This window comes from Homo sapiens, chromosome 12 (genome assembly GCF_000001405.40).
Source record: "Homo sapiens chromosome 12, GRCh38.p14 Primary Assembly".
Lineage (NCBI taxonomy): Eukaryota > Metazoa > Chordata > Mammalia > Primates > Hominidae > Homo > Homo sapiens.
This window is the reverse complement of record NC_000012.12, coordinates 31,673,193-31,697,628: the sequence shown is the minus strand read 5'-3', so window position 1 is coordinate 31,697,628 and position 24,436 is coordinate 31,673,193. Positions and strand designations below refer to the sequence as shown.

Genomic DNA, 24,436 nt, shown 5'->3' with positions numbered 1-24,436 from the left:
ACCACTTCATGCTTTTTGTGGTTAAGTAATTGAGATATATATTGGCATATTCCTCTCAATTAAGTAGCAAGGGTGAAAGGTATATATGGCTAAAACACATGTTTGATGAATGGGAGGCATTAAGACTATATCTAAATAATGAATACATTTTGGAAAATTCTACTTCCGTTGTCTGGATTCATGGACTGTGTTTCTTTTTCCCTTTGCTTAGGTATCTGACAGTGGTGTGATTGCACTTGTTAGTGGACCTTGTGCGAAGAAATTAGAGGTAATTTTAAAACAATTATAAAGATGGTGGTGATTAAATTTTTATATTCTTAGAAATTATGTTTAAAACCTAGCGGATAACCAATGCTTTATCAATTACGTATTTTAGGGACTTTGTTGGTGGGTGTTCTATCTCTTTATTGCCAGAGTAAATAAAAATTGTTAGGATATAAAATAAAGGTGCTTTAAAATAAAAACTCATTTTACTTCCAATAAAAGGCCTTATTTCCCCGAAGTTTTAGCTTCTAACAGATTTAAGAATCATCTTATTATGGATGAAGATTATGAATGTTTATCAGTGTAAAGTGATATTATTTATAATAGGATTTCAGGTCTTAATGATATTTCTACCAGGAGTATTAATTCTCTTGACATCCTGTCATCCTATTTTTCTTGATAGCCACATTGTACGATCATTTAAAAAAGTTTTTTTTTTTTTTTGAGACGGAGTCTCCCACTGTTGCCCAGGCTGGAGTGCAGTGGCATAATCTCGGCTCACTGGAACCTCCACCTCCCAGGTTCAAGCACTTCTCGTGCCTCAGCCTCCCAAGCAGCTAGGATTACAGATGTGTGCCACCGACTAATTTTTGTATTTTTAGTAGAGACGGGGTTTCACCGTGTTGGCCAGGCTGGTCTCGAACTCCCGACCTCAGGTGATCCGACCGCCTCGGCCTCTCATAGTACTGGGATTACAGGAGTGAGCCACTGCACCCGGCCTAAAAAAGATCTTAAATTTGTGTTCATCCTTTGAATTGAATCACTAATGCACTTGTAACCTATTTCTAAATATATTAAGAAGCCTTTTATCCCAGGATTTTGGTTTCTGTCTTCCCCAGTTGACAAGTGGTTTAATATAACTATGCTATTTAACAGTAAGCTACATCAAATCCTTTTTGGAAGTAGGCAGGCTGTAAATTAATTATAAAAATGTTAGTAAAAATAACTATTTTAATAGGGCACAGTGGTGCATTCCTGTAGTCCCAGCTACTCAGGGAGGCTGAGGCAGGAGGATCCCTTGAACCCAAGAGTTGGAGTCCAGCCTGGCAACATAGTGAGAACTTATATCTTAAATAAATAAATACTTTTTTATTTTAATTTTAATTAATTAATTTATTTATTTATTTTGAGACGGAGTCTTGCTCTGTCGCCCAGGCTGGAGTGCAGTGGTGTGATCTCAGCTCACTGCAACTTCCATGTCCCAAGTTCAAGCGATTCTCCAGCCTCAGTCTCCTGAGTAGCTGGGACTGCAGGCATGTGCCACCACATCCAGCTAATTTTTATATTAGAGACAGGGTTTTGCCATGTTGGCTAGGCTGGTCTCAGACTTCTGACCTCAGGTGATCCGCCCCCCTCGACCTCCCAAAGTGCTGGGATTGCAGGTGTGAGCCACCGTGCCCTGCCATAAATACATTTTTTAAAAAGCCAACTATTGTAATGGAATGACAATGCCACGTTTTTGCCAAAATATTTATCCTTGAGTTATTGCCCAAAGAGATTCTTTTTTGTGATTTTATATATCTGGGTCTTGGTAGCATATATATTTTTTAAATATTTTATTAAGAAATTACCATATTAGGTTGGGCATGGTGGCTCACGCCTATAATCCCAGCACTTTGGGAGGCCGAGACAGGTGGATCACCTGAGGCCAGGAGTTCAAGACCAGCCTGGCCAACATGGAGAAACCCCATCTCTACTAAAAATACAAAAAATTAGCTGGGCATGGTGGCAGGTACCTGTAATCCCAGCTACTTGGGAGCCTGAGATAGGAGAATCACTTGAACCTGGGAGGTGGGAGGTTGCAGTGAGCCGAGACTGCGCTATTGCATTCCAGCCTGGGCAACAAGAGCGAAACTCCATCTCAAAAAAAAAAAAAAGAAAGAAAGAAAGAAATTACTATATTTATTATTATACCAAGTTTTGAATTCCAAATTGCATCCTAAATGCAGGAACAGTAATTTTTGGTATTTTAAGTGCAAACATTTGTCGAGCACTTACTGTTATGCCAGGCTGTATACTAACTGCCTTATATTCACTAGGTTATGTAATGCTTACAACATTATCTTGTAATTACTATAATTTTAAATAAAGTTCTCAGTTAAATTAGTTTATCACCTTCAAATAAAACCACCAAGAAATTAGTTGTTATGCATGATAGTAAATATACTGACCTATTTACCTCAACATTATAAAATTAAGAGCACCAACCTAAGTAGAATGAGAAAAAAATGCAATAACCAGTGTGTTGGTGATTATAGTGCCATATCATTACATTTTTTATTTTTTCAGTTTTCCAAAGATTATTCCAAAGTGCCAAAACATTTTAATGGAAATGTCTCTAAAATTTATTAGAACTTAATGCCTTACTTAAACAAAGTAGGGTGAATATACTTTTTAAAAAAATTGTTTTGTTTTGTTTTGTTTTGTAGAGACAGGGTCTTTTTATGTTGCCCAGGCTGGTCTCAAACTCCTGGCCTCAGTGATCCTCCTGTCTTGACTTCCTAAAGTGCTAGAACTATAGGTGTGAGCCACATGCTTGGCCTGAGTGAATATACTTTAACCTTTGGTTTATAGCATCCTCTGACTCAAACTGAAGGACAAACTTAAATTTTGTTTTTTGAGACAGGGTCTTGTTCTGTCACCCAGGGTGGAGTACAGTGGCACAATCATGGCTTACAGCAGCCTTGACTGCCCTGGCTCAAGCAATCCTCCCACCTCAGCTTCCTAAATAGCTGGGGCTACAGGTATGTGCCCCCACTCCTGGCTACTTTTTTATTTTTTGTAGAGATGGGTCTTGCCATGTTGCCCAGGATGATCTTGAACTCCTGGACTCAAGCAGTTCTCCTGCCTTGGCTTCCCAAAGTGCTGGAATTACAGGTATAAGCCACCATGTCTGGCCTTAATTTTTTTTTTTTTTTTTTTGAGACAGAGTTTCGCTCTTGTGGCCCAGGCTGGAGTGCAATAGTGTGATCTCAGCTCACTGCAACCTCCGTCTCCCAGGTACAAGCAATTCTTCTGCCTCAGCCTCCCAAGTAGCTGGGATTATAGGCAGCTGCCACCATGCCCAGCTAATTTTTGTATTTTTAGTAGAGCCAGGGTTTCACCATGTTGGCCAGGCTGGTCTCAAACACCTGATTTCAGGTGATCCACCCTCCTTGGCCCCCCAAAGTGCTGGGATTACAGGTGTGAGCCACCGCACCCAGCCCTAATTTTTTTTTTTTTTTACTAACTACTCTCATAGGTAATGCGGAGGCCTACCTTTCATCACATTTTAATCTGTTGCTTTTAATTTGTTCCATTCTGGGAAATTAAATTATTAATGTTGCTAAATTATTTATAATTTGGAAATCAATTTGATTAAAGGTCTAAGGACCTTTCCTAAAGATTGACAAGAGGCTGAATGTGGTGGCTCACTTCTGTAATTTCAGCACTTTGGGAGGCTAAAGCAAGTGGATCCCTTGAGCTCAGGATTTCAAGAACATCCTGGGCAACACAGTGAAACCTTGTCTCTATGAAAAATACAGGCTGGGTGCGGTGGCTCACACCTGTAATCCCAGCACTTTGGGAGGCTGAGGTGGGCAGATCACCTGAGGTTGGGAGTTTGAGACCAGCCTGACCAACATGGAGAAACCCCGTCTCTACTAAAAATACAAAATTAGCTGGGTGTGGTGGCGCATGCCTGTAATCCCAACTACTTAGGAGGCTGAGGCAGGAGAATTGCTTGAACCCAAGAGGCAGAGGTTGTGGTGAGCTGAGATCACACCATTGCACTCCACCCTGGGCAACAAGAGCAAAACTCCATCTAAAAAAAAAAAGAAAAAAGAAAAATACAAACATTGGCTGGACATGGTGGCTTACGCCTGTAATCCCAGCACTTTGGGAGGCCGAGGCAGGTGGATCACATGAAGCTGGGAGTTCAGAGACGAGCCTGACCAACATGGAGAAACCTCATCTCTACTAAAAATACAAAATTAGCTGGGCATGGTGGTGCATGCCTGTAATCCCAGCTACTCAGGAGGCTGAGGCTTGAACCTGGGAGGTGGAGGATGCAGTGAGCTAAGATCACGCAATTGCACTCCAGCCTGGGCAACAAGAGCGAAACTCCATCTCAAAAAAAAAATTAACCAGAGGTGGTGGTGCATGCCTGTACTCCCAGCTGCTCAGGAGTCTGGAGTGGGGAGATCAATTGATCTCCTTCAACTTGGGAGGTTGAAGCTACGGTGAACTGTGTTTGCACTACTGCACTCCAGCTTGGGGAACAGAGTGAGACCGTGTCTCAAAAAAATTATAAAATTAAAGAAAAAAAGATCAACAAGCACTTAGTACAAACTTATGTTACAGCATTTAGCAAATATCATGATCGTTTCTGAAATCTCTGTTGATCATTGTGTTCATCATTTTGTTCATTTTATCCTCAGCTTTTAATACAATTCTAGATATGTGGTAGTACCTCAATAAATGTTATCACATTCTTAGCCTTATATTACAGTCATTTCATAAGTTTCTTTAATCCTTATAATTAAAATTTAATTTGCTGTATAAAATTTCATTTATTAATAAATATTTATTAAGCATTTACTGTTCTAGATCCTGGCATATCAGAGAACAGACTGTCCGTATAATGTAACATACTTGTTTTTTATTGTTGGTAATTCAGATTGTTTCTGGTTTTTAGCTATTAGAAATAATTATATATTGGGACAGTCACTTTTCCTTCCGTTGCTATAATGAATTCCCAAAAATGGAACAAATGGATTAATAGGTATGAATATTTTTTTAACAGTCCTAAATTGTTTTCCATAAAAGTTATGCTATGAGTATGCAATTTCAGTAAGACCCTAATCTGCCAGAAATATTTTCTTTTTTTTAATGCCTTAATTTAATATGTTTTTTTTCGTTTGTTTTTTTTTTTTGAGACAGAGTCTCACTTTGTCACTCAGGCTGGTATGCAGTGATCTCGGCTCACTGCAACCTCCACCTCCCGGGTTCAAGCGATTCTTCTGCCTCAGCTTCCCAAGTAGCTGGGACTACAGGTGCACACCACCACGCCCAGCTAATTTTTGTATTTTTAGTAGAGACAGGGTTTCACTATGTTGGCCAGGCTGGTCTCGAACTCCTGACCTCAGGTGATCTGCCCGCCTTGGCCTCCCAAAGTGCTGGATTTGTTCTTTTTCTAAAATAATGTTACAGCTGGGTGCAGTGGCTCACACCTGTAATCCCAACACTTTGAGAGGCTGAGGCGGGTGGATCACTTGAGGTCAGAGTTTGAGGCCAGCCTGACCAACATGGTGAAACCCTGTCTCTACTAAAAATACAAAAATTAGCCAGGCATATTTGCACATGCCTGTAATCCCAGCTACTTGGGAGGCTGAGGCAGAAAAATCACTTGAGCCCTGGAGGCAGAGGTTGCAATGAGCCAAGACTGCTCCATTGCACTCCAGCCTGGGCAACAAGAATGAAACTCTGTCTCAAAAAAATAAATAAAGTAAAATAAAATAAAATAATGTTACATCTAAAGCCCCGCTCAATTATTCTCCCTTTCTGCCTTCAGAAGTAACCACTATCCTAAATATGATTATGTATCTCTCCTTGCATGTTTGGATACCTTTTCTTTTTTTTCTTCCTGTGGACCCTGCTCAGACAGAAATGGATACTTTTTCTATTATGTACAAATCTATAAATAAGATATAGCCTTGTTTTATATGCTTTCAAATTTTACATAATAGCTTCATAATATATGTCCCTTTACAATTTGTTATTCAAAATTATGTTTTCTGAAATTTTTCAGGTATAATTGAGGTATAATTTACATACAAGAAAATTCACTCATATTATGTGCATAGTTGGATAAATTTTGGTAATTGTTATACAGCCATATAACCACCACCACAATTGATGTATAGAACATTTTCATCACCCTAAAAAGTTGTCTGTGTTCTCTGTGGTTTTATTTTGTTTTTTTGTCTCTGGTCCTTTGTAGTTGATCCCCTTCTGTGACCCTCTCTTAGGCAACCACTGATTTACTTTGTCATTGTTTTGGCTTTTCTATAATTGTATATAAATTCAATTTTATATACATATAATTTTATATAATGGAATTCTGCAGAATATAATATACTATTTTGGTTTTTATTTCTTTATTTTACTTCCTTCACTTAGCATAGTGTTTGTGAGATTGATCCATGTTATTGCATATGTTAATATTTCATTCCTTTTTTTTTTTTTTTGAGACGGAGTCTTGCTCTATCACCCAGGCTGGAGTGCAGTGGCATGATCTCGGCTCACTGCAACCTCCATCTCCCAGGTTCAAGTGATTCTCCTGCCTCAGCCTCCCAAGTAGTGGGGACTACAGGCATGTTCCACCATGCCCAGCTAATTTTTTTGTATTTTTAGTAGAGACGGGGGGTTTCACCATGTTAGCCAGGATGGTCTCGGTCTCCTGACCTCATGATCCACCCACCCTGGCCTCCCAAAGTGCTGGGATTACAGGCATGAGCCACCACACTCAGCCCCTTTTTATTGCTAAGTAGTGTTCCATAGTATGGATATGCCATAATTTATTTATAATTTTACCATTTGATGCAAAGATAAATAGCTGGGAATTAAATGTAAACAGCTTTTGCACAGCAAAAGGAATAGTCAGCAGAGTAAACAGATAACCCACAGAATGGGAGAAAATCTTCACAATCTATACATCTGACAAAGGACTAATATCCAGAATCTAGAACAAACTCAAACAAATTAGCAAGAAAAAAGCAAACAGTCCCATCAAACAGTGGGCTAAGGACATGAATAGACAATTCTCAAAAGAAGATATACAAATGGCCAACAAACATGAAAAAATGCTCAACATCATTTGTGATTACGGAAATGCAAAGCAAAACCACAATGCGATACCACCTGACTCCTGCAAGAATGGCCATAATAAAAAAAATAAAAAAATAATAGATGTTGGTGTGGATGTGGTGAACAGGGAACACTTCTACACTGCTGGTGGGAATGTAAACTAGTACAACCACTATTGAAAACAGTGTGGAAATTCTTTAAATAACTAAAAGTAGAAGTACCATTTGATCCAGCAATCCCACTACTGGGTGTCTACCCAGAGAAAAAAGTCATTATACGAAAAAGATACTTGTACACACATGTTTATAGCAGCACAATTTGCAATTGCAAAAATGTGGAACCAATGCAAATGCCCATCAATCAACGAGTGGATACAGAAACTGTGGTATATGTATACAATGGAATACTACTCAGCCATAAAAAGGAATGAATTAATGGCATTCACAGCAACCTGGATGGGATTGGAGATTATTCTTCTAAGTGAAGTAACTCAGGAATGGAAAGGCAAACATCATACGTTCTCACTCATAAGTAGGAGCTAAATTATGAGGATGCAAATGCATAAGAATGACATAATGGACTTTGGGGACTCAGGGGGAAAGGGTGGGAAGGAGGTGAGGGGTAAAAGACTAAAAATCGGGTTCAGTGTATACTGCTTGGTTGATGGTTGCACCAAAATCTCACAAATGACCACTAAAGAACTTACTTATGTAACCAAATACCACCTGTTCCCCAAAAATCTATGGAAATTTTTAAAAAATTTAAAAATAATTTTATCATTTGATGGACATTTGGGTTCCAATTTTGGACTGCTGCAGACATTTGCATACAAACCTCTGTGTAGACATATGTTTTTATTTTTCTTGGGTAAATGCCTACGAGTGAAATTGCTGGGTCATATAGCAAATACATGTTTAGCTTTATAAGATACTACCATACTGTTTGCCAAAGGGTCTGAACTAACATGTTTGAGATTTATGTCTATTAATACAAGTAGATATTTTTCATTTTAGCTGTTTTCTATAAAGCATTGATTTTCCCGTTCTCCACTTTTTTTACTATTACAAGTAATACTGCAAAGGGCATATTTATAAATTGTTTCCTTGTGCACATGTAGAAGAGATTCTCTGTAGATCAACAATTGGAATTGCTGAGTTCTGGGGCATACTCATCTTCAGCTTTAATAGCTATTACACATTACTTTATAAAATGGTTGGGCATTTAACTTTTTAAGCTGCTCCTTCCAAATTACTTCAGACTTATATTGGTCTTTTCTATATACTTTTTTTTTGCAAGTAGATATCTGGTTCTTTTTGTATCAGAATGTTTCTCAAAATTGTTCATACTGTTATTATAGATCTTTGTTTTCATTTGACTTTATTTTCTTTATTTTTGCATAGGAGATTCATATGGGACATTGTGTAAATCTGACTGATGGGGCTGTCGAAGCTGTCCTTACTTACTGTCCTCAAATACGTATATTACTCTTCCATGGATGCCCCTTGATAACAGGTTAGTGCAATAGATTGCTTGGGTTCAAATTCTGGCTTCATCTTTTACTGTGTGACCTTGAGTACATTACTTAACCCATTTCATTATTCAGTTTCCTCATCTGTAAAACAGGCATAATGAGAGTACCTACCTCATAGACTTAGTCATGATTATCTGACAATTCTTTATTTTATTTTATTTTATTTTAATTTTTTGGGAGACGGAGTCTTGCTCTGTCACCCAAGCTGGAGTGCAATGGTGCAATCTCAGCTCACTGCAACCTCCACCTCCTGGGTTAAAGCAATTCTCCTGCCTCAGCCTCCTGAGTAGCTGGGACTACAGGTGCACGCCACCATGCCAGGCTAATTTTTTTTGTATTTTTAGCAGAGACGGGATTTCCCCGTGTTGCCCAGGCTGGTCTCTAACTCCTGAGCTCAGGCAATCCGCCTGCCTTGGCCTCCCAAAGTGCTAGGATTACAGACGTTAGCTGCCGCGCCCGGCCTCTGACAATTCCTTATGTGGTGGCCTTGCACATAGTAAGAGCTCAATAAATGTTAGTCATGATAACGATAAATGAAGGTGGTAATGGTGGCCAGTGCTCAATAAATGTTACCTATGAAGAAGATTATGATGGCAGCAGTAGTTGTGTTCATGATATTGAACATGATGCTTTATGTAAACAATAAGAAAATTTCAAGTTTATAATATTACATCTATCAAATACACTAAATGACTTGTTAACTATTATCAAACTGTAGACATTAGGATCAGAATAGCCGGGCGTGGTGGCTCATGCCTATAATCCCATTACTTTGGGAGGCCAAGGCGGGTGGATCACCTGAGGTTGGGAGTTCGAGACCAGCCTGACCAACATGAAGATACCCCATCTCTACTAAAATTACAAAATTAGCCAGGTGTGGTGGTGCGCACCTGTAATCCCAGCTACTCGGGAGATTGAGGACGGAGAATCACTTGAACTCGGGAGGTGGAGGTTGCAGTGAGCTGAGATCACGCCATTGCATTCCAGCCTGGGCAACAAGAGCGAAACTCCGTCTCAAACAAACAAACAAAAAGTCAGAAAAATTTGGACTCTTAGGCTAATGTGGCTCTTCACTGGAGGAGAACAAAACAGCAGTAGCCCATTTTGCCTGTATAAGAGCCATGGTATATATCCTCCTACCCTAGAAACCATGGCACCCTTTCATATTACCCCTATAATAGGTCCACACCGTAATATAAACTGGATCTAACTTGTAAATCAGTAGTTATGCCCAGTCCTTCCAGCTCATTTTTCTTATTACAGTCTAAATAATTATTCCAATTATTCTTTTTTTTTTTTTTGAGACAGAATCTCGCTCTGTCACCCGCCGAGGCTGGAGTGCAGTGGTGCAATCTTGGCTCACTGCAACCTCTGCCTTCCAGGTTCAAGTGATTCTCCTGCCTCAGCCTCCCAAGTAGCTGGGACTACAGGCGCATGCCACCACATCCAACTAATTTTTGTATTTTTAGTAGAGACGGGGTATCACCATACTGGTCAGGCCAGGCTCCTGACCTCATGATCCACCCACCCCAGCCTCCCAAAGTGCTGGGATCACAGGCGTGAGCCACCATGCCCAGCCAGTCTAAACAATTATTCTGTAGGTTAAGCTATTATCCTGGAAGTCCCTTTGACAACTTCTCTTTTATTTTTAGGAAGTCCCTTTGACAACTTCTCTTTTTTATTTTTAGGTTGCCAGCCTTAACCAAGGCTGTAACCATAGATTGTATCTGGGTATCAGTGACATCTGTAGTGAAGATTAGATCTTTATGCAAAGACATTTCTTAAGAAACTAGAGCCAGTAAGGACACTGGTGGCCGGGTGCAGTGGTTTATGCCTGTAATCCCAGCACTGTGGGAGGCTAAGGTGGGTGGATCACTTAAGCCTGGGAGGTCGAAGCTGCAGTGAGCCATGATCACCCCACTGCACCCCAGTCTGGGTAACAGAGTGAGACCCTGTGTCAAAAAAAGAAAAAGAAAAAAGAAAAAAAGAAACTGTTAACTGGGGTTAGCTGCACAGAAAGTTGTGAAGGAACAAGAGTAGGAAAAAAAATGTCATTGTATACCCTTTTGTATCTTTTGAATTTTATATCATGTGGATTATTTTTAAACTATTAAAAATTAATTGGTTGGACGTGGTGGCTGTCAGCACACAGATGATCCCTGACTTAAAATGATCAATTTACAGTTTTTCGACTTTACAATGGTGCAAAAGCCATATGCATTCAGTAGAAGCCATACTTCAAGAACCTGTGCAAGCATTTTTTTCACTTTCAGTATAATATTCAATAGATTACATGAGACAGTCAACACTTTATTAAAAAATAGGCTTTGTGTCGGAAAATTTTGCCCATCTGTAGGCTAATTTAAGTGTTCTGAGCATGTAGGCTAGGCTAAGCTATGTTGTTCAGTAAGTTAGGTATATTGAACACATTTTCGACTTTGTGTATTTTCGACTTATGAGTTTGTCAGGGTGTAACCCCATCATAAATTGAGAAGCATCTGTAGAGAGAAGCAATAAATACCAATTTTCTTTTTTCTTTTTTTGAGGCAGAATCTCACTCTGTCACCCAGGCTGGAGTGCAGAGGCATGATCTTGGCTCACTGCAACCTCCACCTCCTGGGTTCAAGTGCTTCTCCTGCCTCAGCCTCCCAAGTAGCTGGGATTACAGGCTTGCACCACCCTACCCAGCTAATTTTTGTATTTTAGTAGAGACAGGGTTTCACCATGTTGGCCAGGCTGGTCTTGAACTCCTGACCTCAGGTGATCCACCTGGCTCAGTCTCCCAAAGTGCTGGGATTACAGGCATGAATCACCATGCCTGGCCTAAATACCAGTTTTCAAGTCTGGAAAATATACTGGAGTGGTTAATCAGATTTTCAAACCAAGGAGTCTTTTGAGATAAATTATGTCATTATGGAGATCACTAGTAACCAAAGATATGTTAACAGATCATGGATTTAAGATAAATGCCTAGTTGATGTGATTTCAGACACCAGGAAAGCTTAATGACACTAAATGATTAATGAGTGCAATGAGCTTAATCACACTAAATGATTGCAATGAGCTGAGATCACGTCATTGCACTCCAGCTTGGGCAACAAGAGTGAAACTCCGTTTCCAAAAAAAAAAAAATAATAACAAATGCGGTTGAGCATTCCTTTTTTCTTTCTTTCTTTCTTTTTTTTTTGATAATGAGTCTTGCTCTGTCGCCCAGGCTGGAGTGCAGTGGTGCAATCTTGACTCACTGCAACCTCCGCCTCCCAGGTTCAAGTGATTCTCCTGCCTCAGCCTCCCAAGTAGCTGGGATTACAGACGCCCGCCACCAGGTCTGGCTAATTTTTGTATTTTTAGTAGAAATGGTGTTTCACCATGTTGGCCAGGCTGTTGTCGAACTCCTGACCTCAGGTGATCTGCCCGCCTTGGCCTCCCAAAGTTCTGGGATTACAAGCGTGAGCTACCACGCCCAGCTGTTTGAGCGTTCTATAGTGGAAAAAATGTGAAAGTCATGGTATTAACTAAATTTTCATTTAAGAGTGTGGGAAGAATGATCCTTCAATGGACAGCTTTGGAGGGACCAAGGGAGACAAAAGTAGAATTGCTGTTAATGTTGAACCTTAAGAGCCATCTTTGTTCAACATACAAATTAAAATACCATTATAGGCCAGGCGAAGTGGCTCACGCCTGTAATCCCAACACTTTGGGAGGCTGAGGTGGGCAGACCACTTGAGGTCAGGAGTTCAAGACCAACCTGGCCAACATGGTGAAACCCTGTGTCTACTAAAAATACAAAAATTAGTTGAGTGTGGGGCTGGGTGCCTGTAATCCCAGCTACTTGGGAGGCTGAGGCAGGAGAATAGCTTGAACCTGGAAGGCAGAGGTTACAGTGAGCCAAGATCTCCGCACTGCACTCCAGCCTGGGCAAGAGTGGGCAGGACTCTATCTCAAAAAAAAAAAAATAATAATTATGGAAAACAAAATTTATAAAAATCTAAAAGATATGTGATATAAATGTAACTCACTTAAGAAGCATCTTAGATTTTGTATTCCCCGTATGTTTCAGAGCAATTCTATTGGTTTTACCTTCGTATTTTTATGTTGGTGATGAGAAAACACTTAACCATTTGTAGGTTTCAGTAATTGAAATAATACTTTCTGGTAGTATTTTTCAAATAGACCCCAGGACCCATTTACATTCTTAAAAATTATTGAGGATCCCAGGCCGGGCGCGGTGGCTCACGCCGGTAATCCCAGCACTTTGCGAGGCCAAGGCAGGTGGATCACAAGGTCAGGAGATCGAGATCATCCTGGCTAACACGGTGAAACCCTGTCCGTACTAAAAATACAAAAAAATTAGCCGGGCATGGTGGCGGGCGCCTGTAGTCCCAGCTATTCAGGAGGCTGAGGCAGGAGAATGGCATGAACTTGGGAGGCCGAGCTTGCAGTGAGCCAAGATCGCACAACGGCACTCCAGCCTGGGCAATAGAGTGAGACTCCATCTCAAAAAAAAAAAAAAAATCACTGAGGATCCCCAAAGAGTTTTTGTTTATGTATATTTGTTAAATTAAAATTTCTATTAAAACAGATAAATTTTAATAGACATTCATTTTTTAAAAATCGTAAATCTATTACCTAGAAAAGAGATATATTTTCATTCAGATCATCACTTTTCAGATCATTGTGGATACTCTTCTTTGATACCCCAAAACTCAGCAAGTGGTAATTTCTTATGGGTTGTTGCAATGTGGAACTTGAAAACATATCAATGAACTTTGCGTACATTTTGTTATGATGCACTTTTCATACATTTGTGTTATGATGCACTAGTCTGTCTTGAATTTTGAGTTGATCTTTACCAATGCATGATTTTGTAACATCATGCATTGGCAGTTCGGAAAATATTGGTTCTCTGAGTTATATAGATCTTTTAAATATTGACACATTTTATTATCCAAAACAAAAATCAGTTGTTAACATAATAACTGATGTCATTAGAAAGGTCCTGGATAGCTTTCAAGATCACAGTGGCAGCTACGAGGCTTCCAAAATTCACTTGAAAGCTAAAGCTTTATCACTGACAACAAATTCTGTCATTTGTTTTCTTTGAAATGACAGCCTCATTTCTTCTATTTTCATGAAATAGTCTGCCAAGTACTCAAATAAGAATAACCTTACACTGTAGTCATTGTATTAGTCCGTTTTCACACTGCTGATACAGACATACCCAAGACTGGGTAACTTATAAAGAAAAAGAGGTTTAATGGACTCACAGTTCCACGTGGCTGGGGAAGCCTCACAATCATGGCTGAAGGCGAAAGGCACGTCTTACAGGGTGGCAGGCAAGAGAGAATGAGAGCCAAGAGAAGGGGTTTCCCCTTTTAAAACCATCAGATCTCATGAGACTTATTTACTATCATAAGAACAGCACAGGAAAGACTTGCCCCCATGATTCAATTACCTCCCACCGGGTCCCTCTCACGACACATGGGAATTGTGGGAGCTACAATTCAAGATGAGATTTGGGTGGCGACACAGTCAAACCATATCAATCATTCTTTTAAAAAGTAAAAATGGTGTTCCATGAGAAAAGTAACTAGTTCAGTTCACAACCCTGAAAGGGTCTCAGACTACAGAATATGCAGACTACACTTTGGGAACCACTGCTTTATGGTAAAGAAAAATTATCAGTCAACTTCAACATTTGCAGCAAGAATAGCATATCATTTTCTGGCCAGGTGTGGTAGCTCACGCCTGTAGTCCTGCACTTTGGGAGGCCAAGGCAGGCAGATCACTTGAGATTAGGAGTTTGAGACCAGCCTGGCCAATATGGTGAAACCCCCTCTCTACTAAAAATACAAAAATTAGCTGGGCATGGTGGCGCACGCCTGTAATCCCAGCTACTCTGATGGCTGACGCATGAGGATCACTTGAGCCTGGGGGGCAGAGGTTGCAATTAGCCAAGATTGTGCCACTGCACTCCAGCCTGAGTGACAAGGTGAGACACTGTCTCAAAAAAAAAAAAAAAAAGAATAGCATACCCCTTTCAAATCACTTCTTATATTTTTGTGTGGCTGCCAGAAGTAGTGGAAGTAGACATTGAAATGGCAGGAGTTCAAAATATTTGGAATAAAAATATTTTTGATCTGGAAGATCACAGTTGGTAAATGCTGGACTAGGTGTTACCGTTACATGATCTAAAAATGACCTTTGGGGCCCTGTGTTGTTTACTTCTTCACAGCAACCAGGACTGTTAGCTCAAAAGCCCATCATCACCAAATCAAATGTTTACACATCCAATTGTTTAAGTATAGCCTAAATAACCAAATTATTAGCCATCTATCTAGAGCCCACCTGCTTTACATACCCTGCAAACTACACTCAACGTCTACTATCCATAGATAAAAACCCCAGGCTATAAAAGACCCCAAATCACTGCTGCCCTTTGGAGCTCTGTAACCCAGAGACACCCCCCCACCCGCCCCGCCGATCTTGCTGCTAAACAACGTCATGACACATACACCCTCTCTCTAGTCCTCCAGGAATTCTCTTACCCTCCCCCTTCTGAGTAGTGGCCGCCCTACACTGTCGCTGCCTTTGGAAGGTCTCATGCTGTGAGGGACTTCCCGGCATACAAACCTGTCAAAGCGCTGTCCAAAGAGAGCTTGTTGTGTCCCACTGCCACCTTGTGGTCACATCTTTTTCTTTGTTCTGCCCTGAAATCCTTCAGATTCACTGCAGTTACATGGTGTGCCATAACATAAAACAAAAAGTGTTTATATGTCCAAAAAGTTTGTGAAGGGCAACATGCCACTATTATGAATGTTAATTTGTCAAAGGCTCTGAGAAATACTATAGCTAAGAAACTGTTTAACTTCGTTTGTCCAAGCATTTCCAAATTTCTAGCACAGAACACTTTTTTGATTACCCTAGCCAACTCCATCACATTTTAAAATGTTATTTTTCTGATCCCTGATTTCACAGAATAGGAAAGTGAGATATTGAAATGTTATTTGTGTCAGGGTGCGGTGGCTCATGCCTGTAATCCCAGCACTTTGGGAGGCCAAGGTGGGTGGATCGCTTGAATGCAGGAGTTTGACACCAGCCTGGGCAACATAGAGAAACCCTGCTTCTATAAAAAATTGTTTTAATTAGCTGGGCATGGTGGTGCACACCTATAGTCCCAGCTACTCGGGAGGCTGAGGTGGGAGGATCGCTTGAGGCCCCAGGGGTTTGAAATCAGCCTGCACAACATTAACTGAGACTTGCTGTCTAATAAAATAATAATAGTGCTAAGACTAAAACTAAAATCTTAAGATACAGTAAAACGAACGCTGATCCCATCCACGCCATCTCTCCAGAACATCGAATAAATCACTTAACTCTTATGGATCTCGACTTTGCCTTGTGCATAATGGCCAATTATCATAACATTGAGAGATCTAATATTAATAATAATGCAAGAGGCCGGGCATGGTGGCTCACGCCTGTAATCCCAGAACTTTGGGAGGCCGAGGCAGGTGGATCACCTGAGGTCAGGACTATGAGACCAGCCTGACCAACATGGTGAAACCCTGTCTCTACTAAAAATACAAAAATTAGCCAGGCATGATGATGTATGCCTGTAATTCCAGCTACTCAGGAGGCTAAGGCAGGAGAATTGCTTGAACGCAGGAGGCAGAGGTTGCAGTGAGCCAAGGTCATGCCACTATACTCCAGCCTGAGCAACAAGAGCGAAACTTCGTCTCAAAAAAAATAAATAAAAATAATAATGCAAGAGTTCATACAATATATTCTACCTTGAGTCATCACATCAAAAAAAATAAATTTTTTAAATAGTTCATATAAAATGGCTTTTATTAATAAACTAAAGAGAAAAAAGCTGAAGAAATTTTAACTACCCAGATCACTTCTACTCTTCCCACTTAACCATCAGTACCCCTAAATCTTCTATAATGATATATTTTTGCTAACATCATTGAATGGAAGTAAAGTGGGCTAACATGTTCACCTTATATTTGATTTTTAATTTCTTCTTTTTCCAAGGAAGATAAATGCTGGTTGTGTTTGTGGGGGTTTTTTGTTTGATACATGGAAGGCCTTTCTTCTTTCGTGACACCTTATATAACATGATTCCTCTTATATATTCATATGGTTGCTCACATATGAGTATTTAAGACCATAAAATTTATATTATATAGAAAGTATTTACTATACTTGCATATGCATGTGCAATTATAATATTGTTACCCTCAAAGCAACCTGACTCCCAGATTAGCACTGCTCACTGTAATTTCCCATCAGATCTCCTGAATTAACCTATTTTCTCGACTATGTTTCTAAGTATTTATAAAATTTCTTAACCTTAGTTAGAATAAAACATAACTTCACATTATGAATTAGGACTTGAAACTGTTAGAAGTACTCTGAGTTGGTTTCTGCAGAAGAGATAAAAACTAAGCTGCTATTAGAAATATGAAAATTATGGTTTTGGCTGTGTATGGTGGCTCACGCCTGTAATCCCAGCCCTGTGGGGGGGCCGAGGCAGGCGGATCACCTGAGGTCAGGAGTTTGAGACCAGCTTGGCCAACATGGTGAAACCCCGTCTCTACTAAAAATACAGAAATGAGTCGGGCGTGGTGACGGGTGCCTATAATCCCAGGTATTTGGGAGGCTGAGACAGGAGAATTGCTTGAACCCGGGAGGCGGAGGTTGCAGTGAGCCAAGATCACACCACTACACTCCAGCCTGGGCAACAAAGAGCAAAACTCCATCTCAAAAGAAAAGAAAAGAAAAGAAAATTATAGTTTTATAGATGTTACAACAGCATGAAAATAATTTTTAAACTTACTAAATCTTTTTTTTTTTTTTGAGATGGAGTTTCACTCTTTGTTGCCGCCTGGAGTGTAGTGGTGCGATCTTGGTTCACTGCAACCTCCACCTCCCGGGTGCAAGCGATTCTCCTGTCTCAGCCTCCTGAGTTGGGATCACAAGCGGGTGCCACCACACCCGGCTAATTTTTTGTATTTTTAGTAGAGACAGGGTTTCACCATTTTGGCCAGCCTAGTCTCGAACTCCTGACCTCAGGTGATCTGCCCACCTCAGCCTCCCAAAGTACTGAGATTACAGGTGTGAGCCACCAAGCCTGTCCTAAAACTTACTAAAGCATTTTAATTCAATTAGGTCTTCAATGATTATCAGTAAGTTCACCTCACATACCTTTGCTAATCTCCTACAGCAGACATGCATTGCCGTTTCTCATAGTTATCTAAGCATGTTTGACAGTATTCAAAGACATGGAGGATTTTAGAAGGGCAATAAAGCAGTTAGAGAGTCCTTATGTTTTACCCTGAGAGGCAGGAGAATCCAACAGGAAATCTGCCGCTTTCAATTTAGTCGACTTGAATTTTAATCTTATCTGAGGATTTGTTTTAACCTGATTTAAAGGCAAGTTCTTTTTTTTGAAATGGAGTCTCACTCTGTTGCCCAGGCTGGAGTGCAGTGGCACCATCTCAGTTTACTGCAACCTCCGCCTCCCAGGTTCAAGCGATTCTCCTGCCTCAGCCTCCTGAATAGCTGGGATTAAAGGTGTGTGCCACCATGCCTGGCTAATTTTTTTGTATTTTTTTAGTAGAGATAGGGTTTCACCATGTTGACCAGGCTGGTCTTGAACTCCTGACCTCAGGTGAGCCACCTGCCTCGGCCTCCCAAAGTGCTGGGATTACAGGTGTGAGCCACCACACCCAGCCAGCAAGTTCTTTACTTAGATTCTGGATAATGTAGATGTCAGGATTTACCACAAAGAGCCAAAACAGTATTTTAAATTTTTATTTATTTATTTATTTATAAATAGAGACGGGGTTTCGCCATGTTGGTCAGACTGTCTCGAACTCTTGGGCTCAAGAGATCCACCCACGTTGGCCTCTCAAAGTGCTGGGATTACAGGCGTGAGCTGCCATGCCCAGCCAAAACAGTATTTTAAGACCCAAGTGGTTTGCTTCAGGGTTTCCCTTTAATTAAAGCTGGTTCCTTGCTTAAAGGAGAACTCATTTTTTTATTTCATATTTGTCTTAATCCTGTATTATTCTGTTTCCTCATTATTCATTCATTCATTACTAATCCTACATGACATGTTTATTTTTGCCAGATCACTGTAATGAAACATTAGGACTTTGATCATTATTTGTAAAAATGTGTTCAGCCATACTTTTTTCACTGTGTGTTCTCTAAAAATGTCTAAATTACATTTCCTTTGAACATTTGAAAAAAATACTTTGTTAAAAGTTTGTATTCTTTGGCCGGGCACGGTGGTGGCTCACGCCTGTAATCCCAGCACTTTGGGAGGCCAAGGTGGGCGGATCATAAGGTCAGGAGTTCGAGACCAGCCTGGCCAATATGGTGAAACCCCATCTCTACTAAAAATACAAAAATTAGCCGGGTGTGGTGGTGGGCACCTGTAGTCCCAGCTACTCGGGAGACTGAGGCAGGAGAGTCACTTGAACCCAGGAGACGGAGGTTGCAGTGAGCTGAGATGACACCATTGCACTCCAGCCTAGGCGACAGGGTGAGACTCTGTCTCAACATAAAAAAAAAAAAAAAGTTTGTATTTCCCATAGTTTCTTCTTCTTCTTGGTGTTCCAAGTGCTCCTGCCATGAATCTTTCAAAAAATGCTCTCCATCTATATTGTCATAGATTTTTACAGAGGTGGTCAACAGTTCCTTAGAGGTTGGGAGGCAGAAAGGTATACCTTTCCTCACCCATCATAAGGGTCAAGGCTGACAGTCCTATACGAAAAGGGAGGTTAATAAGAGAAAGGCGTAACAGGTTTATTTGGTCAAAGATTTATAAGAGACTTCAGAAATGAAGAGCCAAACACCCAGGGAAAACTGCTTGTTTTTATGCTTATGAAGCATGGACAGCCATGTAGAGATGTGACTGGAAAAGAGAATGAACTAATAGTAAGAGTGGAGAAACCCAGCAAGGCCTGTTCAGATTCTTCTTGGCCTTTCTGTGTGACCTTCCTTTTTCCAGGGTATAGGGCGGGGCCACTCTGGAATGAGGGCCTTATGATCTCCTATCTGACAAGGGTACATCAGAGAATTTCTTTATGGCCAGCTCCTAGGCAGAAAGGCTGGGGAAGTTTAGAGTAATATTTGTAGGTTTTATGTCTTCCTTTGGGGAAAAGGGTTCTAGTTTCTGTGACCCACCTTGGGGAAGAGGAATCCTGGTTTCTGTGACTCACTTGCGGAGAATGAAGGGTAAGAGATAGGAGGGCAGGAGAAGGTCAGAGACCTTGGTTCTGAGGTGGATTCTGAGGCCTTCCAATGTCCTTTAGTTCAAAGTACTCAGCATGCCAAAGTGCCATACTTTGGGGAATCCTTTTCTGAGCCCCAACAAGGTCATCTATACAACTCCCTCATTTTAAAGATAAGGGAACAGAGATACAATTGATTTAAGTGGCTTGCCCCACATCTTAGAAATAGTTGATAGAACTGGAAGTAAAACCTAAGTCATCTGAACCACAATCTATAATTCCTTCCTGAGCCTTTAATGTAAAGTGGCTTAACTGTTACTAGGATAGAGAAACAAATAGGAAGGTGACATCAAGCATCAGTCGGGTGATTAGCATAAATGACCCGTTAGCCCTTTTTCAGTCTGGAGAGTATGTGATTCTTTTTCTTTTTCTTTTTTTTGAGACGGAGTCTCGCTCAGTCACCCAGGCTGGAGTGCAGTGGCGCGATCTCGGCTCACTGCAAGCTCCGCCTCCCAGGTTCACGCCATTCTCCTGCCTCAGCCTCCCGAGTAGTTGGGACTACAGGTGCACGCCACTACGCCCAGCTAATTTTTTTGTATTTTTTAGTAGAGGCGGGGTTTCACCATGTTAGCCAGGATAGTCTCGATCTCCTGACCTCGTGATCCGCCCGTCTCGTCCTCCCAAAGTGCTGGGATTACAGGTGTGAGCCGCCGCGCCCGGCCAAGAGAGTATGTGTTTCTATAAAATGTTCTGCCAAGAGATTATGAAATACTTAGCGACCCCATAGTTTTTCCCTGTAGCATAATAAAGGCATTGAATATTCTTATTTAAACCCACAGTCCTAAATACTCTATCTTCATGGGAAGAAGCTGCCTAAGGAGACTGTAATATAACACTGCCATCTGGCATCAAAAATTTTTAATTACATAAAAATGTTACATGCTTACTATTGGAGGGAAAAGCATCTTCCTATAATGTGCAATAGTGAATTCAAAACAGAATAGTGACAAATGTAGACAGAAGACAAATTTTATATATGTTTGATAACATATTCACAACTTGGAAAAATGCCAAAATGATTGTAGACACACCAGCTAAAATGAAATTGGGAAGTGTTGGCCAGGCGCGGTGGCTCACACCTGTAATTGCAGCACTTTGGGAGGCCAAGGCGGGCAGATCACGAGGTCAGGAGATCGAGACCATCCTGGCTAACATGGTGAAACCCCATCTCTACTAAAAATACAAAAAAATTAGCTGGGGGGGCCAAATTCTGGCTAATTTTTGCATTTTTAGTAGAGACGGGGTTTCGCCATGTTGCCCAGGCTAGTCTCAAACTCCTGAACTCAAGCGATCCACCTGCCTTGGCCTCCCAAAGTGCTGAGATTACAGGTGTGAGCCACCTTACCAGGCCCCATCTTATTGATTTCTGCAAAAAATAAAAAGCCAGCTTGTATTTTGATATGAATTTCATTGAATCTATAGGTAATTTGGGAAATATTGCTATCTTAATAATATTAAGCCTTCTGGTTTGGATTTCTTTATTTAGGTCTTTAATTTCTTTCAATAAAGTCTTATAGTTTTCAGAGTATAAGTTTTTCACTTTCATTTGATTTATTCCTAAGTATTCTATTCTTTTTGATGGTAACATAAATGGAGTTATTTTCTAGTTCATTTTTGGATTATTCATTGTTGATGTATAGAAATACATTTGATTTTTATATATTGTTCTTGTACCTTGCTGAACTCATTTATTCTATTTTTTTAGTGAATTCCTTGGGATATTGTATACACAGTATAACATCTACAAATAGATAGTTTTACTTCTTCCTTCTAACCTGAATGCCTTTTCTTTTTCTTGCCTAATTTCCATGGCTGGAACCTCTGGTACATGCCATTTCTATGTTGGATAGAAATGGCAAGAGTGGACATCCTGGCGGGTAACGGTGGCTCACGCCTGTAACCCCAGCACTTTGGGAGGCCAAGGCAGGTGGATCAGGTCTCAAACTGCTGAGGTCAGGAGTTCAAGACCAGCCTGGCCAGCATGGTTAAACCCCGTCTCCACTAAAAATACAAAAAATTAGCTGGGCGTGGTTGCGGGCGCCTGTAATCCCAGCTACTCGGGAGGCTGAGGCAGGAGAATCACTTGAGCCTGGAAGCCAGGGTTGCAGTGAGCCAAGATCACATCATTGAACTCCAGCCTGGGCAAAGGGTGAGACTCTGTCTCAAAAAAAAAAAAAAGTGTGGATATCCTTGTCTTGATCCTAGGGAGAAAACATTTAATTTTTCACTATTAGCTATAGGTTTTTCTTGTTTGTTTTTGAGACAGGGTCTTGCTCTGTTGCTCAGGCTGGAGTGCAGTGGTGTGAACACACTCACTGCAACCTCTGCCTCCCAGGCTCAATTGGATCCTCCTACCTCAGCCTCCCAAGTAATTGGGACTACAGGCATGTGCCACCACACTCAGCTAATTTTTAAATTTCTTTCGCAGAGACAGGGTCTCACTATATTTCCCAGGCTGGTCTTGAACTCCTGGGCTCAAGTGATCCTCCCGCCTTGGCCTCCCAAAATGCTGGGATTACAGACATGAGCCACTGCATCCTGCCATCTATGGGTTTTTCATAGACGCCCTTTATCAGGTTGAGGAAGTTATCTTCTATTCCTAGTTGGTTGAATGAGCATTGGTTTTTGTCAACTGGTGTTTCTTTTTTTTTTTTTTTGACACTGGGTCTTGCTGTGTTGCCCAGGCTGGAGTACAGTGGCACCATCTCAGCTCACTGCAATCTCTGCCTCCTGGATTCAAGCGATTCCCCTGCCTCGGTCTCCTGAGTAGCTGGGATTACAAGCACCCACCACCATGCATGGCTAATTTTTTTTTTTGTATTTTTAGTAGAGACGGGGTTTTCCCATCTTAGCCAGGCTGGTCTTGAACTCTTGACCTCAGGTGATCCGCCCTCAGCCTCCCAAAGTGCTGGAATTACAGGCATGAGCCACCGTACCCAGCCAATTGGTGTTTCTTTGTCTATTGAGATGATCATGTGGTTTTAGTTCTTTGTTCTATTAGAATGGTGTAGGTGGTAAGCTGAATAATGCTCTCACCCACCCAATGATATCCACGTTCTAATGCCCAAAATGTGAGTATGTTATGTTACATAAGGTTGCCAATGGAATTAAAGTTGCTAATCAGTTGATTTTTAAGTAGGGAGATCATTCTGTATTATCTATGTAGGCCCAAAATAATCATAAGGGTCCTTAAAAGTAGAAGGAGAGAGGACCATAGAGATGGCAGCTTGAGAAGGACTGTGCTCAATGATGCCCACTTTTTTTTTTTTTTGAGATGGAGTCTCACTCTGTCACCCAGGCAAGAGTACGATGGCATGGTCTTGGCTTACTGCAATCTCCGCCTCCCTGGTTCAAGCAATTCTCCCACCTCAGCCTCCCAGGTAGCTGGGACTACAGGTGCATGCCACAGTGCTCGGCTAATTTTTGTATTTTTAGTAGAGATGGGGGTTTCACTATGTTGGCCAGGCTGGTCTCAAACTCCTGACCTCATGATCTGCCCGCCTCAGCCTCCCAAAGTGCTGGGATTGCAGGCGTGAGCCACCGCACCCAGCCCAATGTTGTTCACTTTAAATAAGCAGGAAGGAATGCAAGGAATGTGGTAGTTTCTAGAAGCTAGAAAAGTAAAGGAAGTAGATTCCCCTGTAGAGCCTCCAAAAAAAAAAAAAGATAAGACTTTCCTCTAAAAAGTAACGCAGACCTGCCCACACCTGATTTTAGCCCAGTGAGACCCATTTTGGAATTCTGACCTTCAAAACTGTACAATAACAAATTTGTTGCTTTAAGCCACTAAATTTGTGGTAATTTGTTACAGCAGCAATAGGACATTAACACAGTATATTATACTAATTGATTTTCAGATGTTAAAGTAACCTTGCATTCCTATGATAAATCTCAGTTGGTCATGGTATGTAATCCTTTCTTCTAGTGGCTGGATTTGGTGTGCTGGTGTTTTGTTGAGCATTTTTTAGTCTACATTAATAAAAGATCCTTGTCTGCAGTTTTCTTTTTCATGTGATGTCTTTGTCTGGCTTTGGTATCAGGGTAACACTGGCCTCACAGAAAGAGTTGGAAAGTGTTTCCCCCTTCTTCTATAGCCACCCAGCTTTGTCATGGTTGCCATTTAAATGGTATGTCTTTGTCCATTCTTTTACTTTCAACATAATTTGAATCTATCTTTGATTGAGATTTCCTCTACAATAACCAATAATATTTTTATGACCATGAATAAAACTGCATTTATCTTACTAGCTGCTTTTTTAAAAAATTGTAAACCTTTGTTTTCCCAATGATAATAACTTTTCATTTCTATACACTCTCTGGTTCTCTTGCTGGCAATAAACCTTGGTATTTTTGCTTAATTTTGTTAAACTTAAAATAAAATTTTGTCACTGTATATGTTGGGCCCATCTTTTTTTTTTTTTCTACTGGTCTGTGAAATCTGTCTAGGAACCACCAAATTACAGGATTTCCAAGACTAGGTTAGAGA

The 24,436-nt window shown here is 40.7% G+C and overlaps 1 protein-coding gene across 7 annotated transcripts in view, besides 1 other annotated feature; it reads left to right on the top strand.

The window, feature by feature from the left end:
• Positions 1–24,436, top strand: part of AMN1 (antagonist of mitotic exit network 1 homolog) — a 58,038-nt gene that overhangs the window by 31,546 nt on the left and 2,056 nt on the right. For 6 of the 7 annotated variants that reach the window (NR_103523.1, XM_017018965.3, XM_006719054.4 and 3 more), the window contains 2 exons: positions 212–268; positions 8,511–8,622. Coding sequence is in view for 5 of the 7 variants with exons in the window: in XM_017018965.3 (XP_016874454.1) it covers positions 212–268; positions 8,511–8,622 (169 nt within the window). In the remaining 2 variants the exon portion in view is untranslated. Of the gene's footprint in view, positions 1–211; positions 269–8,510; positions 8,623–23,990; positions 24,078–24,436 lie in introns of all 7 variants that reach the window. The other variant, NR_103522.2, reaches the window with a different exon arrangement.
• Positions 15,093–15,182: a silencer, noted in NCBI's record as "silent region_4328". NCBI's record gives its function as "represses an Ori minimal core promoter by ATAC-STARR-seq in GM12878 lymphoblastoid cells {active_cell/tissue: GM12878}" and the evidence as "EXISTENCE:reporter gene assay evidence [ECO:0000049][PMID:35858748]".